General features: G+C 45.4%; 1 protein-coding gene across 1 annotated transcript in view; it reads left to right on the forward strand.

Moving 5' to 3' along the window:
- Positions 1 to 13059, forward strand: part of METTL2A (methyltransferase 2A, tRNA N3-cytidine) — a 29489-nt gene extending 16430 nt beyond the window's left edge. The window contains exons 6-9 of the mRNA NM_181725.4: positions 291 to 430; positions 4511 to 4617; positions 7375 to 7440; positions 8249 to 13059. Coding sequence (NP_859076.3) covers positions 291 to 430; positions 4511 to 4617; positions 7375 to 7440; positions 8249 to 8403 — 468 coding nt within the window. The 3' untranslated portion in view covers positions 8404 to 13059. The remainder of the gene's footprint in view (positions 1 to 290; positions 431 to 4510; positions 4618 to 7374; positions 7441 to 8248) is intronic.
- The last annotated feature ends 1642 nt before the right edge of the window (positions 13060 to 14701 follow it).

Genomic DNA, 14701 nt, shown 5'->3' on the forward strand with positions numbered 1-14701 from the left:
TTACTTTCAATAGCAAAAACCGCAATTACTTTTTCACCAATCTATATAATGATTAGAAATATATCCCCTACTCTGGAGGGTGAGGCAAGTGATCCTATCGCGTGAACCCAAGAGTTTGAGGCCAGCCTGGGCAACATGGGGAGATTTTGCCTCAAGAAAAAAAAGAAAAAAGAAATATATCCCTCTTTGTGAAGTAGCAACAGTTACATTTAAAATTTAAAACAAGATAATCTTTTCTTTAGGCTATGTTAATATTTTCTAACTTACCTGTGTCTTCCATCTGTCTGCAGACAAATTCAGAATATGATCCTTCTCGGTGTTTTGCCTTTGTTCACGACCTGTGTGATGAAGAGAAGAGTTACCCAGTGCCCAAGGGCAGTCTTGATATTATCATTCTCATATTTGTTCTTTCAGCAATTGTTCCAGACAAGTAAGTTTGGGTCCCTTGGCTGGTAGTGTCACAAAAAGGAAGCTTTGGTGAGGGACCTTTTTTTTTAAAATAGGTTCTTGCTCTGTCAGCCCAGGCTGGAGTGCAGTGGCACGATCATGGCTCACTGCAGCCTTAACCTCTTGGGCTTAAATGATCCTCCCTCCTCAGCTTCCCAAGTAGGTGGGACCACAGGCACGTGCCACCAGTCCTGGCCAATTTTTGTGTTTTTAGCAGAGATGGGGTTTTGCCATGTTGCCCAGACTGGTCTTGAATTCCTGGGCTCAAGCGATCCTCCCACCTTGGCCTCCCAAAGTGCTGGGATTATAGGTGTGAGCCACCATGCCCAGCCTGGCGAGGGACCTTGATATTAGAGTTGGGCTCAAAGTAAAAAGAGTTTTGTTTATGTTCTGATAGACACAAAGAAGCCACACCATTTGTAGTGATGTGAGCATCTCAGCCATTTTCCTAAATTTGTCTTGATGTCCAACTTCTGTTCTGGCCTCGAAACTTCTGCAGTAGTTGGTTCTTCATTTCCTTGTTGTGGCTCAACATTGGGAAAGAATGGGAAATCAGTCTCTAATGAGTATGTGGGGAAATTCCTATTGATAGTCTCATCACATGCCGTTTTAGAACTGTGAACTGTGGGTGTCACAGCTCTTAGGTAATGTCTCATTATTGGATTTTTATTTTATTTTATTTTATTTTTTTGAGATGGAGTCTTGCCCTGTCGCCTGGGCTGGAATGCAATGGCGTGATCTAGGCTCATTGCAACCTCCACCTCCCCGGTTCACACAATTCTCCTGCCTCAACCTCCCGAGTAGCTGGGATTACAGGCACCTGCTACCATGCCCAGCTAATTTTTGTATTTTTAGTAGATGCGGGGTTTCACCATGTTGGCCAGGCTGGTCTTAAACTCCTGACCTTGTAATCTGCTTGCCTCAACCTTGCAAAATGCTGGGATTACAGGCATGAGCCACTATGCTGGCCTTTTTTTTTTTTTTGAAGACGGAGTCTTGCTCTGTTGCCCCGGCTGGGGTGCAGTGATGAGATCTTGGCTCACTGCAACCTCCACCTCCCGGGTTCAACCAATTCTCCTGCCTCAGCCTCCCAAGCAGCTGGGATTACAGGTGTACGCCACCATGCCTGGCTAATTTTTGTATTTTTTTTTTTTAGTAGAGATGGTGTTTCACCATGTTGGCCAGGCTGGTCTCAAACTCCTGACCTCATGACCTCATGATCCGCCCGCCACGGCCTCCCAAAGTGCTGGAATTACAGGCGTGAGCCACCACGCCCAGCCTATTGGCCTTTTAAATGCTTTAAATAAAACAACCTTATTAGCAACATGAAATTTACATTGAACCTTAACTAAGGTGTTCTCTGATGCTTACAGTGTTTTAGGAAAGTGTGATACAGAATTCTATAAAATCAGATTCAGATTAAAGGAAAGTCAAATGCTATATCCTAAAATACACCATTAAAACTTCATATGCATAGGTAACCAGTGGTCCTGTGACACTACCTTCTCTTTTTTTTTTCTGAGATGGAGTCTCACTCTGTTGCCCAGGCTGGAGTGCAGTGGTGAGATTTCAGTTCACTGCAACCTCTGCCTCCAAGGTTAAAGCGATTCTCCTGCCTCAGCCTCCCGAGCAGCTGGGATTACAGACAAGCACCACCACACCTGGCTAATATTTTTTGTATTTTTAGTAGAGACGGGGTTTCACTATGTTGGCCAGGCTGGTCTTGAACTCCTTACCTCAAGTTATCCACCCACCTCGGCATCCCAAAGTGCTGGGATTACAGGCATGAGCCACTGCAACCTGACCAAAACTACCTTCTCAAGGAAGCAGAGTCAGATGGTGGCTCAGAGATTCAGATACCATTGACTAATTCCATGGAAGCCCTTGGCACTGCCAGAGTGCAGTGAGTCTGGACAGGCTGGGGGTTGGCACATGTTAGGGTAAACTATACCCATGAAATCATGAGATTAGAGACTTCAAACATCTCCTCATTCTGTGTCATCAGAGTCCTGCAAAGGATGATTAAGTAAGTTAGTGTTAAAGGTCAAGGTAAGCTGGTGTTAGGAAGCCAGATTACATGACTAGAGACTGCAGGGACCAGTGATTGAGATCCTGGTTTATCTCCCAGAGTCCAAGGACCCCTCACTGGCTGCACAGGATAGGAGCTTTGGGTGATTGACCTTCCTCTAGAAGGCCACACTTCCTCTAGAAGGGTACTGAAGTCATCCAACCTGAGAGGATGAGTGTGAAATAAAGGCATATGCAGGATAACCCAAAAGGCCTACCATGGTTTTAAACTTTAATAATTGCAGAGGTTGACCAGGCACAGTGGCTCACGCCTATAATCCCACCACTTTGGGAGGCTGAGGTGGGAGGAGTGCTTGAAGCCAGGAGCTCAAGACCAGCTTGGGCAACAAAGCAGGACCGTTATCTCTACTAAAAATAAAAATAAAAAAATTTAGCCAGGTGCATATCTGTAGTCCCAGCTACTCAGAAGGCTGAGGCAGGAGTATGGCTTAAGCCCAGGAGTTTGAGGCTGCAGTGAAGTGAGCTACGATCACACCACTGCACTGCAGCCTGGGTGACAGAGTGAGACCCTGTCTCAAAAAAAACCTATGACCTTAGAAGTTTCAATGCTACAAACTTTTTAAAAATTGACATGGACTAAAACAAATTATTAAAATTTAAAATTCAAGCCAGACACAGTGGCACACACTTTTAGTCCCAGCTACCTAGAGACTGAGGCAGGAGGATCACTTGAGCCCAAGAGTCCAGCCGAGGCAACATAGCATAGCAGGACCCCAGCTGTTTTTTGTTTGTTTGTTTGTTTTCTGAGATGGAGTTTCACTCTTGTTGCCCAGGCTGGAGTGCAGTGCTATGGTCTTGGCTCACTGCAATCTCCGCCTCCCAGGTTCAAGCGATTCTCCTGCCTCAGCCTCCCAAGTAGCTAGGATTACAGGTGCCTGCCACCATCCCTGGCTAATTTTTTTGTATTTTTAGTAGAGACAGGGTTTCACCATGTTGGCCAGGCTGGTCTCGAACTCCTGACCTCAGGTGATCTGCCTGCCTTGGCCGTTTTTTTGTTTTTTGGTTTTTTTTAAGAGGGAAACATTCATTATGCAAAATTTAAATAGACTTTGAAATTTTTTTGGTGAAGTTTGTAGCATTTAGACTTCTGAAGTTATGAAAGCTTCAACCTGCACCAAGACTTTTGAAGAACACTGCATATGGAAAACACAGACCTAAGTGTAAAACCCTCTGTCTGTTATACTCATTTGCATACTGATTGTATTGTAAGTTCTTGAGGACAAGTCTTCATTTAACAAACAGAAAGATACAGCCCCTACATTGAAAGAGCTCAGGTCTAATGATGCAGGCAGATAAGTCACCTAGCAGAACCCACTGGATGCTCAGGATTCAGCTCAGCCACAGGCGCACAGGGCAAAGATGGCTATCTAGGACAGTGGGGAAGTGAGCCAGATAGAGAGCAGAGAACTTTTGTTTGTTTGTTTGTTTTTTGGAGACAAAGTCTCAGTTACTCTGCGGCCCAGGCCGGAGGGCAGTGGTGCAATCTTGGCTCACTGCAACCTCCACCTCCCAGGTTCCAGAAATTCTCCTGCCTCAGCCTCCTGAGTGTCTGGGATTACAGGCACACGCCACCACACCTGGCTACTTTTTGTATTTTTAGTAGAGATGGGGTTTAACCATTTTGGCCAGGCTGGTCTCAAACTCCTGACCTCATGTGATCCACCTGCCTCAGCCTCCCAAAGTGCTGGTATTACAAGCATGAGCCACCGCACCCGGCCAGGAGCAGGGAACTTTCTTACGGCAGAAGCGGGCTGTCCTCGGGCCCCTTCAGGCTGAAGGCAGTGGATCGAGGCCACAGCTGTGAGCAGGCAGCTAATGTCCTTCAGTTCTAACTGAAGCAAGAGTAGAGGAGCTTAGATCTCAGACTTGGTGTGTCAGTTGAGGAAGTCCACTGGCTTTTTGGGATATGCTACAGGGAAAGAGAACCCCGTCTTTAAGGAGACCTGATTGACCGTCATTCCCTGCTGCTCCACAGGATGCAGAAGGCTATCAACAGGCTGAGCAGGCTTCTGAAACCTGGCGGGATGATGCTTCTGCGAGATTACGGCCGCTATGACATGGCTCAGCTTCGGTTTAAAAAAGGTATTTTGAAAGTGCTGAATCCTAACCACTAGAGATCATGTCCTTTGCAGGGACATGGATGAAGCTGGAAATCATCATTCTCAGCAAACTAACACAAGAACAGAAAACCAAACACCACTTTTTCTCACTCATAAGTGGGAGTTGAACAATGAGAACACATGGACACGGGGCGGGGGGCATCACACACTGGGGTCTGTCTGGGGGTGAGGGGGCTGGGAGAGGGATAGCATTAGCAGAAATACCTAATGTAGATGACGGGTTGATGGGTGCAGCAAACCTCCATGGCACATGTATACATATGTAATAAACCTGCACGTTCTGCACATGTACCCCAGAACTTAAAGTATAATTAAAAAAAAAAAAAGGTATTTGGCCACTATAATCAAAAAATGGTGCTGCCATCAGAATAGAAACTCTAGAATTAGAACTCCTTATATAAAGCCATTTAATATGTGACAGAGTAGTATATTTTTTAAGAAAACTGAAGAGGCTTGTATAATCTAGATATTGAGGTCTTTTTAAGCAAGACAGCTACCTTTAGAAGAGCTTTTATTAGAAAGACATTTGAAAGACAGCCGGGCGCAGTGGCTCATGCCTGTAATTCCAACACTTTGGGAGGCCGAGGTGGGTGGATCGCCTGAGTTCAAGAGTTCAAGACCAGCCTGACCAACATGGAGAAACCCTGTCTCTACTAAAAATACAAATTAGCTGGGCATGGTGGCGCATGCCTGTAATCCCAGCTACTCGGGAGGCTGAGGCAGGAGAATCGCTTGAACCCAGGAGGCAGAGGTTGCAGTGAGCCAAGATCACACCATTGCACTCCAGCCTGGGCAACGAGTGAAACTGTCTCAAGAAAAAAAAAAAAAGATATTTGAAAGACATAAATAATTTTAAATGTGGCATGACAAAAGATGCCATTAAAAATGTAAAAGGCAAATGACGGAGTAAGAAGGAATATTTTCAGTGCATATAATAGATAAAGACTTAATATCTTTGCTCTTCAAGGAGCTCTCATGAAACTGATAAGGAAAAGATCAGTGACCCACCCAAAAAACAGGCGAGGAGTATTTAGTCAGTTCACAGAAGAACATATCTAAATGGCCAGTAAACAACACTTCAAGGAAATAAAAATAACGAGTTAGTACTTCCTATTGCTGGCCAATTCAAAGAAAGAGGTGCATTCCTTCATTACTGGTAGAAAAAGAAATTGTTACAGCCTTTTTTTTTGAGATGGAGTTTTGCCGTTATTGCCCAGGCTGGAGTGCAATGGCGTGATCTCGGCTCACTGCAACCTCTGCCTCCTGGGTCCACCCGCCTTGGCCTCCCAAAATGCTGGGATTACAGGTGTGAGCCACTGTGCCCAGTGTTACAGCCTTTTTTTTTTTGAGACGGAGTCTCGCTCTGTCTCCCAGGCTGGAGTGCAATGGCACGATCTCGGCTCACTGCAACCTCTGTCTCTTGGGTTCAAGCAATTCTCCTGCCTCAGCCTCCCGAATAGCCGAGACTACAGGCATGTGCCACCACGCCTGGCTAATTTTTTTGTATTTTTAGTAGAGACAGGGTTTCACCATGTTGGTCAGGCTGGTCTCGAACTCCTGACCTTAGGTGATCCACCCACCTCAGCCTCCCAAAGTCCTGGGATTACAGGTGTGAGCCACTGCGCTCGGCTTACAGCCTTTTTTTAAGCACCCAATTATTGTTCAATCCAGTCATTTTTTTTGAATATAGTCAAGAACTAGCACATAATACATGCAGGAGCAAAACTTTGTAAACAAAGTGAATGCCTCTGGATAGGGAGATGTTGTGCTTGTCACCTGAGGTGGACCCCGTACCACTGAACTTGGAGGGATTTCTGTTCTGTATTCAGTGAGAGGAGAGCAATGTGCAAGGGAGTATTTTAAACTCCATCCCCCTATACCAGTATCTGCAGGGAAATAAGTACACACTTGTGTGATGATTTGGGCATTCAGGAAGGTCTAGAAGTATGTGCCAGGCCGGTAAACTGAGGTAAGGTCAGGGAGGTTAGCAGCAGAAGGGAAAGCATGTTCATGATCAAAACAATATCTGAGTTGTATTTATGATTCTGTAGACATGTGAAGAGACATGCAAAGGACAGTCACCACCAAAATGGTAATGATTGTCTCAAGTTTCCTTAAACTCAGCTATATTGCTTAATTAAAAAAAATAAAAATAGGCCAGGCACGGTGGCTCATGCCTTTAATCCCAGCACTTTGGGAGGCCACGGTGGGTGGATCACCTGAGGTGAGGAGTTTGAGACCAGCCTGGCCAACATGGTGAAACCCTGACTCTACTAAAAATACAAAAAATTAGCTGGGCATGGTGGTGGGAACCTGTAATCCCAGCTACTTGGGAGGCTGAGGCAGGAGAATCACTTGAACCTGGGAGGCAGAGGTTGCAGTGATCCGAGGTCACGCCATTGCACCCAGCCTAGGCAACAAGAGCGAAACTCCGTCTCAAAATAAATAAATAAATAAAAAGTTTGTGCTGTTAATTTAATGGGGTTGGGAGAGTGAACAAGTTGTTTTCATCAAACAATTCTAGAGTTTTGGAGTGGGGTGCTTAGGAACGTCATGTTTTCTGACATTGTGACTTACTCCTGTTGAGCTGCTCTTCCCGAAGCACTGAGGCAGGAGTGCTCTCCACCCAACAAACTGACCTCCCAGTTAACATTCCTTAGCAATGCGAGTCAAAGAAGTGCTTTTAAGTGTCTCTGATTTTTAACACATCACTCTGCAGGTCAGTGTCTATCTGGAAATTTCTACGTGAGAGGTGATGGAACCAGAGTTTACTTCTTCACACAAGGTATGAAACACCCATCTTTTTACACTAAAAGTCCCCAGTACCAGATGAGATGGTCTTCAAGGCACGTTCAGAAGGAAAACTATCTGGTCCCTCCTGCCTTTTAGGCAGGCTGTTTCCTGCGGTTCCCTGCTGCTCACACCCTCTTCCACCCTGGGCTAGGCTACCCATGGCAGCCAGGCACTGGGGCCCCCAGGCAGCCCTGGCTTGTCCATGCCTTCAGTCCTGCTCTGCTCTCCCTGTCTGCCACTGTCCAAAATGGGAAGCCTGCCCACTCTGCAAGGCTCATCTCCAGTCCAGCCTGTTTCACCCTCTACACGGGGTTGTGCTTTGGTGTGCCCGGGTCAGGGTGAACCCTGGGTTCTAGGGGTGCTGGGAACTGCTCTCCTCTGCAACTGGCCTATCCACAGGCTTCATCCTTCACCTGGGCCTTCCAAATTCTCCGTTCCTGGGCCCTTTTCAGGGTCACCTTCTTTGAGCCTTTGGTTAAGATGATGAAACCACTTTCCTAAAACAATTGCTTTGACATACATAGATATTTTTGCATAAATTTTAAGGTGTTCATAGAGCCTAAAGGCCAAATATAAACCAAAGGTTTTTAAAAAAGAAAAAACCGCGGCCCATACGCAGTGGCTTCCCCTACCTAAACATGAACTTACTGTTACCAAGCCACCACTGCATTTATAACCAAATGGCCATGTAAAAAACATGACAGCAACTTCCCAGAGCCCCTTTTAACAAGGACTTAGTAGATAAAAATGCCTTTTCTTGAGGGGAAAAATGCATAAACATCTTTTATTTTCCACACTAGAGGAACTGGACACGCTTTTCACCACTGCTGGACTGGAAAAAGTTCAGAACCTGGTGGATCGCCGACTGCAGGTGAACCGAGGAAAGCAACTGACAATGTACCGGGTTTGGATTCAGTGCAAATACTGCAAGCCCCTTCTGTCCAGCACCAGCTGAGAGGCACCTGCTGCCAACACGATGCAAGCCCATTGTGTTTCCGGGCTTTTTTAAAAAAAAAATTGTAGCACTGGGCGTGGTGCATGCCTGTAATCCCAGCCACTCAGGAGGCTGAGGCGGGGAGGATCCATTGAGCCCAGCAGTCCAACCTGGGCAAAATAGTGAGAGACCCTGTATCTGAAAGTAATAATAAAAATAAAAAATATAAATGAGGTCTCGTTGATGTTGGACAATTCAAGAATTCAGACTTGAACCTTAAACCTAGGAAAAGTTACTTTGTATCAGGATTCTAACAATTATGCTTCATATTTGTGAAGTCCTTTAAAACATAATTTTCTCAAGTTCTTTCTTTGAGATCTCAATCTGTCTTAGCATTTTGTAACTAATAACTGAAATTTTATTCAAAGGAATTGTAAACCTTAAACCACCAATTTATTTCCATGTGAAAAAGTGTTACATATGACAAGTGTTTTTTGACTGTAATTGCGTTAAATCTTTTGAGAATGTAAATGCCGGGCTAGGCAATTGCAGTTAATACATACAGAGGTTAGTGAAGGGCTTATTAAGTTGTAGGGGAAGCAAGCTGGGAAGAATCAGATCAGATATTTTCCTGACAAAAAAAAATGACCCTACAGAGAGCATCAAAATGTGGTGTTCTTGTTAAGTAATTGATCGTGGTCTTCGCTTTAATCTTAGTTCCGCCAGGCACGGTGGCTCACACCTGTAATCCCAGCACTTTGGGAGGCCAAGGCGGGCGGATCAGCTGAGGTCAGGAGTTGGAGACCAGCGTGGCCAACATGGTGAAACCCCGTCTCTACTAAAGATAAAAAAATTAGCTGAGTGTGTTGGTGGGTGCCTGTAATCCAGCTACTTGGGAGACTGAGGCAGGAGAATTGCTTGAACCCAGGAGGCAGAGGTTGCAGTGAGCTGAGATTGTGCCACTGCACTCCAGCCTGGGCAACAAAGCAAGACTCTGTCTCAAAAAAATAAAAATAAAAAAAAAATCTTAGTTCCATGGAATTTTAAGCATTGTTCCCCCTCTAACCTGTGTCTAAAGAATTAAAAGAATTTGGCCGGGTGCGGCAGCTCATGCCTGTAATCCCAACACTTTGGGAGGCTGAGGCAGGCGGATCACGAGGTCAGGAGATCGAGACCATCCTGGCCAACACGGTGAAACCTCGTCTCCACTAAAAATACCAAAAAAATTAGCTGGGCATGGTGGCACACACCTGTAGTCCCCTGTAGTCCCAGCTACTCGGGAGGCTGAGGCAGGAGAATCGTTTGAACCTGGGAGGTGGAGGTTGCAGTGAGCCAAGATCATGTCACTGCATTCCAGCCTGGGCAACAGAGGAAGACTCCGTCTCAAAAAAAAAAAAGAAAAGAATTTTCACTTTTTGCAAAATTATCTTTTTTAATGCACCCTTAAGTGTTTGACACAAAAGGAATTGAGGGAACTTCTTAATTTTAACCACATCATCACTTCACTTCTGAATGTGATCATTATCAGTGTTAGATGCCTTTTTTTTTTTTTTTTTTTTTTTTTTTTTAAGGAGACAGGGCTCTCACTTTGTTGCCCAGGCTGGAGTTCAGTGGTGCAATGATAGCTCATTATCACCTCAAACTTCTGGCTCAAGCCATCCCTCCGCCTCAGCCTCCTGAGTAGCTAGGACTGCAGGTGGGCACCATCATGCCTAGCTAATTGTTAGATCCTTTTTTTTTATGTTCTGCATTTTTTCAGTTATTTTTACATATTTCTCTCTTGATCCATGCAGTTATAGGATATATCCTTAATTTTAGAAAGTAAGGACTTTTCGACCAGGCGTGGCGGCTCATGCCTATAATCCCAGCACTTTGGGAGGCCGAGGTGGGCAGATCACTTGAGGTCAGGAGTTCCAGTCCAGCCTGGCTAACATAGTGAAACCCCGTCTCCACTAAAAAATAAAAAATCAGCCCGGCATGGCTGTGGGCGCCTGTAATCCCAGCTACTCAGGAGGCTGAAGTAGAATTGCTTGAACCTGGGAGGCAGAGGTTGCAGTGAGCCGAGATGGTGCCATTGCACTCCAGCCTGGGTGACAAGAGCGAAACTGCATCTCAGAAACAAAGATGCCTAGCTTTCACCTTGTTGATGTTTTTCTAAATTTTGGAATAATAAATTTATATAGGAATACTGCAAGAATAGTCCATTTTTTTCTGATGTCCCAACATCACCAAATGTATCCATCACAAGTAGGAATACATGGAAACATTAATGCCAGCCACTAACCATTCATGTTTACCCAGTAGTCCCAATAATAGCTTTGTCACACAAAAACATGATTATGTTGGCTGGGCACAGTGGCTCCTGTAATCCTAGCATTTTGGGAGCCCAAGGCAGGAGTTCAAGACCAGGCTGGGTAATGTAGCAAGACCCTGACTTTTTTTTTTTTTTTTTTTTGAGACAGAGCTTCGCTCTTGTTGCCCAGGCTGGAGTACAATGGCACAATTTCAGCTCACCGCAACCTCTGCCTCCCAAGTTTAAATGATTCTCCTGCCTCAGCCTCCCAAGTAGCTGGAATTACAGGCATGTGCCACCATTCCCGGCTAATTTTTTGTATTTTTAGTAGAGACAGAGTTTCTCCATGTTGGTCAGGCTGATCTCGAACTCCCGACCTCAGGTGATCTGCCCGCCTTGGCCTCCCAAAGTGCTGGGATTACAGGCGTGAGCCACCACGCCCGGCCAAGACCCTGACTTTTTAAAAAATGTTAAAAATAGGCCGGGTGCGGTGGCTCACACCTGTAATCCCAGCACTTTGGGAGGCCAAGGTGGGCGGATCATTTGAGGTCGGGAGTTCGAGACCAGCCTGGCCAACTTAATGAAACCCCATCACTGCTAACAATACAGACCTGGCACGGTGGCTCACGCCTGTAATCCCAGCACTTTGAGAGACCAAGGTAGGTGGATCACCTGAGGTCGGGAGTTGGAGACCAGCCTGACCAACATGGAGAAACCCCGTCTCTACTAAAAATACAAAATAGCCAGGTGTGATGGCGCATGCCTGTAACCCCATCCACTTGGAAGGCTGAGGCAGGAGAATCACTTGAATCTGGGAGGCGGAGGTTGCAGTGAGCCGAGATGGCACCATTGCACTCCAGCCTGGGCAACAAGAGTGAAACTCCGTCTCAAAAAAAAAAAAAAAAAAAATTAGCTGGGCATGGTGGTGGGCGCCTGTAATCCCAGCTATTTGGGAGGGTGGCTCTAGAGAATCATTTGAACCTGGGAGGCGGAGGTTGCGGTGAGCCGAGATCGCGCCATTGCACTCCAGCCTGGGCAACAGTGAGACTCCGTCTCAAAATAAAAAACAAAAAAAATGTAAAAAATAAATAATTGTATTGAATTTATTAGTTGTGTCTCAGTCTCCTTCAGTCTACGGGTTAGGCTTGCTTTTGCACCTTTGCATTTTAAGGTAAGAGGCTATTGTGTAAACTCGAATTGGGTTTGTTGGTGTTTCTTCATGATTTGGTTCAGGCTCTGCATTTTGGGCAGGAATATTCAGAGGTAATGCTGTGTTCCTCCCATAGGATCGTATCAGGCGACACATGATTATGAATTTCCCCATTATTGGTGATGTCACTTAGTTGTGTTGTCTGCCGGGTTCTGCCACTGTAAAGTTAATAAGTATTTTGTAGGGAAGTGCTTTGAGACTAAATATCCTGTTCCTCATCAAACTTCTACCCCCTAGTTTCAGTATCTATTGCTGCTTTTTGGCTGAATAACTATGATAGTTGCCAAATAGTGGTTTCTGATGCTTCCATTCCTTCTACACTGATTGGTTGGTATTTTGTACAGAAAAGCTTTCTCATATCTGATTTACTTGTCTCAATATGGACCCATGGGTATTTGAGTTTCTTGTGGGGTTATTTGTTGTTGTTTTTGAGACAGGCTCACCCAGGCTGGAATGCAGCAGCACGATCACTGCTCACTGCAGCCTCGACCTCCCAGGCTCAGGTGATTCTCCCACCCCAGCCTCCCAAGTAGATGGGACTACAGGCATGTGCCACCAAGCCTAATTTTTGTATTTTTTGTAGAGACAGGGTTTCATCATGTGTCCCAGGCTGGTCTTGAACTCCTGAGCTCAAGCAATCCTCCCACCTCGGCCTCCCAAAGTGCTGGGATGAGCCACTGCGACTGGCCCCACTTAATGGGTTTTCAGAGGTGGGAGCAAAGAATGAAGGGAGGAAGAGAGCTCCCATCTTTTCCATTACTGTATTTACTTAAAACTGGAAAAAACTGAATCACTGGGATGGTATTTCATTTATCTTTTGAAATGAAGAATAGATACATTAATTTAAATGATTCTCTAAAGACTGTCCTTCAGCATCCCTAAAGCATTTCAACACTATAGGCACAGTTTTTATTTTATCTTTCTGGCACCTGGTTTGGGCTTTGGGCTTAGATTAAAAAGACGAGCCTTCTCCTGCCCCTGCTCCCTTTTATTCTCTGCCATCTGCTAAGCTCGACTTTTTATCTCTCAGGCCAAATTTGACTCTGCAAGGGACTTTGCATAACGTTTCATCCTCAGAATCGCTAATGATGGGCAGAGGACTGTTACATTTGTTGGGAGGGATTAAAGTATATGACCTCAGTGCCACTTAAAAAATAAATACTGTCTCAACTATGAGTCTGGCTCTGAATGGTATCTCTTAATATGCTTAATGCAAGAATGGTGGGTCGGGCGTGGTGGCTCATGCTTGTAATCCCAGCACTTTGGGAGGCCGTGGCTGGCGGATCACCTGAGGTCAGGAGTTTGAGACCAGCCTGGCCAACATGGCAGAACCCATCTCTACTAAAAATAAAAAATAAAAAAATTTAGCCAGGCATGGTGGTGGGAGCCTGTAATCCCAGCTACTGGGGAGGCTGAGGCAGGAGAATTGCTTGAACCCAGGAGGCGGAGATTGCAGTGAGCAGAGATTGCACACCAGCCTGGGTGACAGAGCAAGACTCCATCTCAAAAAAAAAAAAAAAAAGAAAGGTGCTATGCGGGGCTGGAAGGTGGCTCCAGGTGTGAAGCTGCTCAGGAAGTTGTGTGGTTTCAGTGTGAATCTAACAGAAGTGTTTCTGAAACTGATTTACCTTTCTAAGTCGTGTTAATTAGGGTGAGAGATAAATTCAATGTTGTTTGAAAAATGAGAGACAGTTTGAGACAGATGCACTGGAGCTATTGGAGTGAAACCATGTTCCTGAGGGCAGCGATCACCCTGAAAGTGGGTTTTGCACTGTGAAAGGGATTCATCTCCTGGTCTTGCAGGATTCATGCAGAGCCTGGCCTCTGTTAATGCTATCAAACCTATGTACAATGGGTCAGCCACCTCTTTTCATATAAGTTCATATTCTCTTGGGCTCTGGTAGGAAAATTAGGACTTGGAAACTTAGTGAGAAAGGGAAAATCTAACGTGCTAAGACATCCTACTTGGATGTAATTGATTCCTATCTTTGCTTAAAGACATACTTTAGTAGGAGTAAGGAGTTCTCTCTGTGGCTTAAAAGATGAGCTCAGGACAAGCAGTTTCTTTCAGTCTGTTCACAAAGGCCTGTTCTTTGGTTTGTGGCTGCAGCTGCTATTTTCAGAGCCTGGCTGCGTTGATGCGTTGCAGATTTGTGTGTGCTTCCTACTTTGGTCTACAGGTTGTGATTTGGGAACCCTGGTTAAGAGGTAGAAGAAGTGCTCATGGTGAATTTCCCAGGTGAAAACACTGAAACATTGCATCATGACTGCCTCATTTTATTTAAATAAGTGTCTTGGCTCAAGGTTGGACATTGTCTCTGTAGCCAGTGAAACACACTCCATGACCAGGTTTCAGGACAAATCACCACAGTCCGATTTAATACCCCACTGGGGACCCTGAGACATGGTAGCCTTGACTCCAGCCTCAAGCTTGGCATCTTTACCCACAGATGAGCCTCACACTGCCTTCATTCATTCATTCTCTACTTCCATTCTCTGAATTTGGATTTTGCCATTAAAATTTAATGTTATAGCCAGGTGTGGTGGCTCACACCTGTAATCCCAGCACTTTGGGAGGCCAAGATGGGAGGATCGCTTGAGTCCAGGAGTTCAAGACCAGCCTGGGTAACATAGCAGCATCCTGTTCATACAAAAAAATAAAAAATTAGCCAGGCGTGGCGGTGCCTGCGTGTAGTCCTAGCTACTCAGGTGGCTGAGGTGAGAGGATCGCTTGAGCCCAGAAGTTCAAGGCTTCAGTGAGCTGTGATCACACCACTGCTGGGTGACACAGCAAGACTCCGTCTCAAAAAAGAAAA

The sequence above is a fragment of the Homo sapiens genome, chromosome 17, assembly GCF_000001405.40.
Source record: "Homo sapiens chromosome 17, GRCh38.p14 Primary Assembly".
In the NCBI taxonomy this organism is placed as follows: Eukaryota; Metazoa; Chordata; class Mammalia; order Primates; family Hominidae; genus Homo; species Homo sapiens.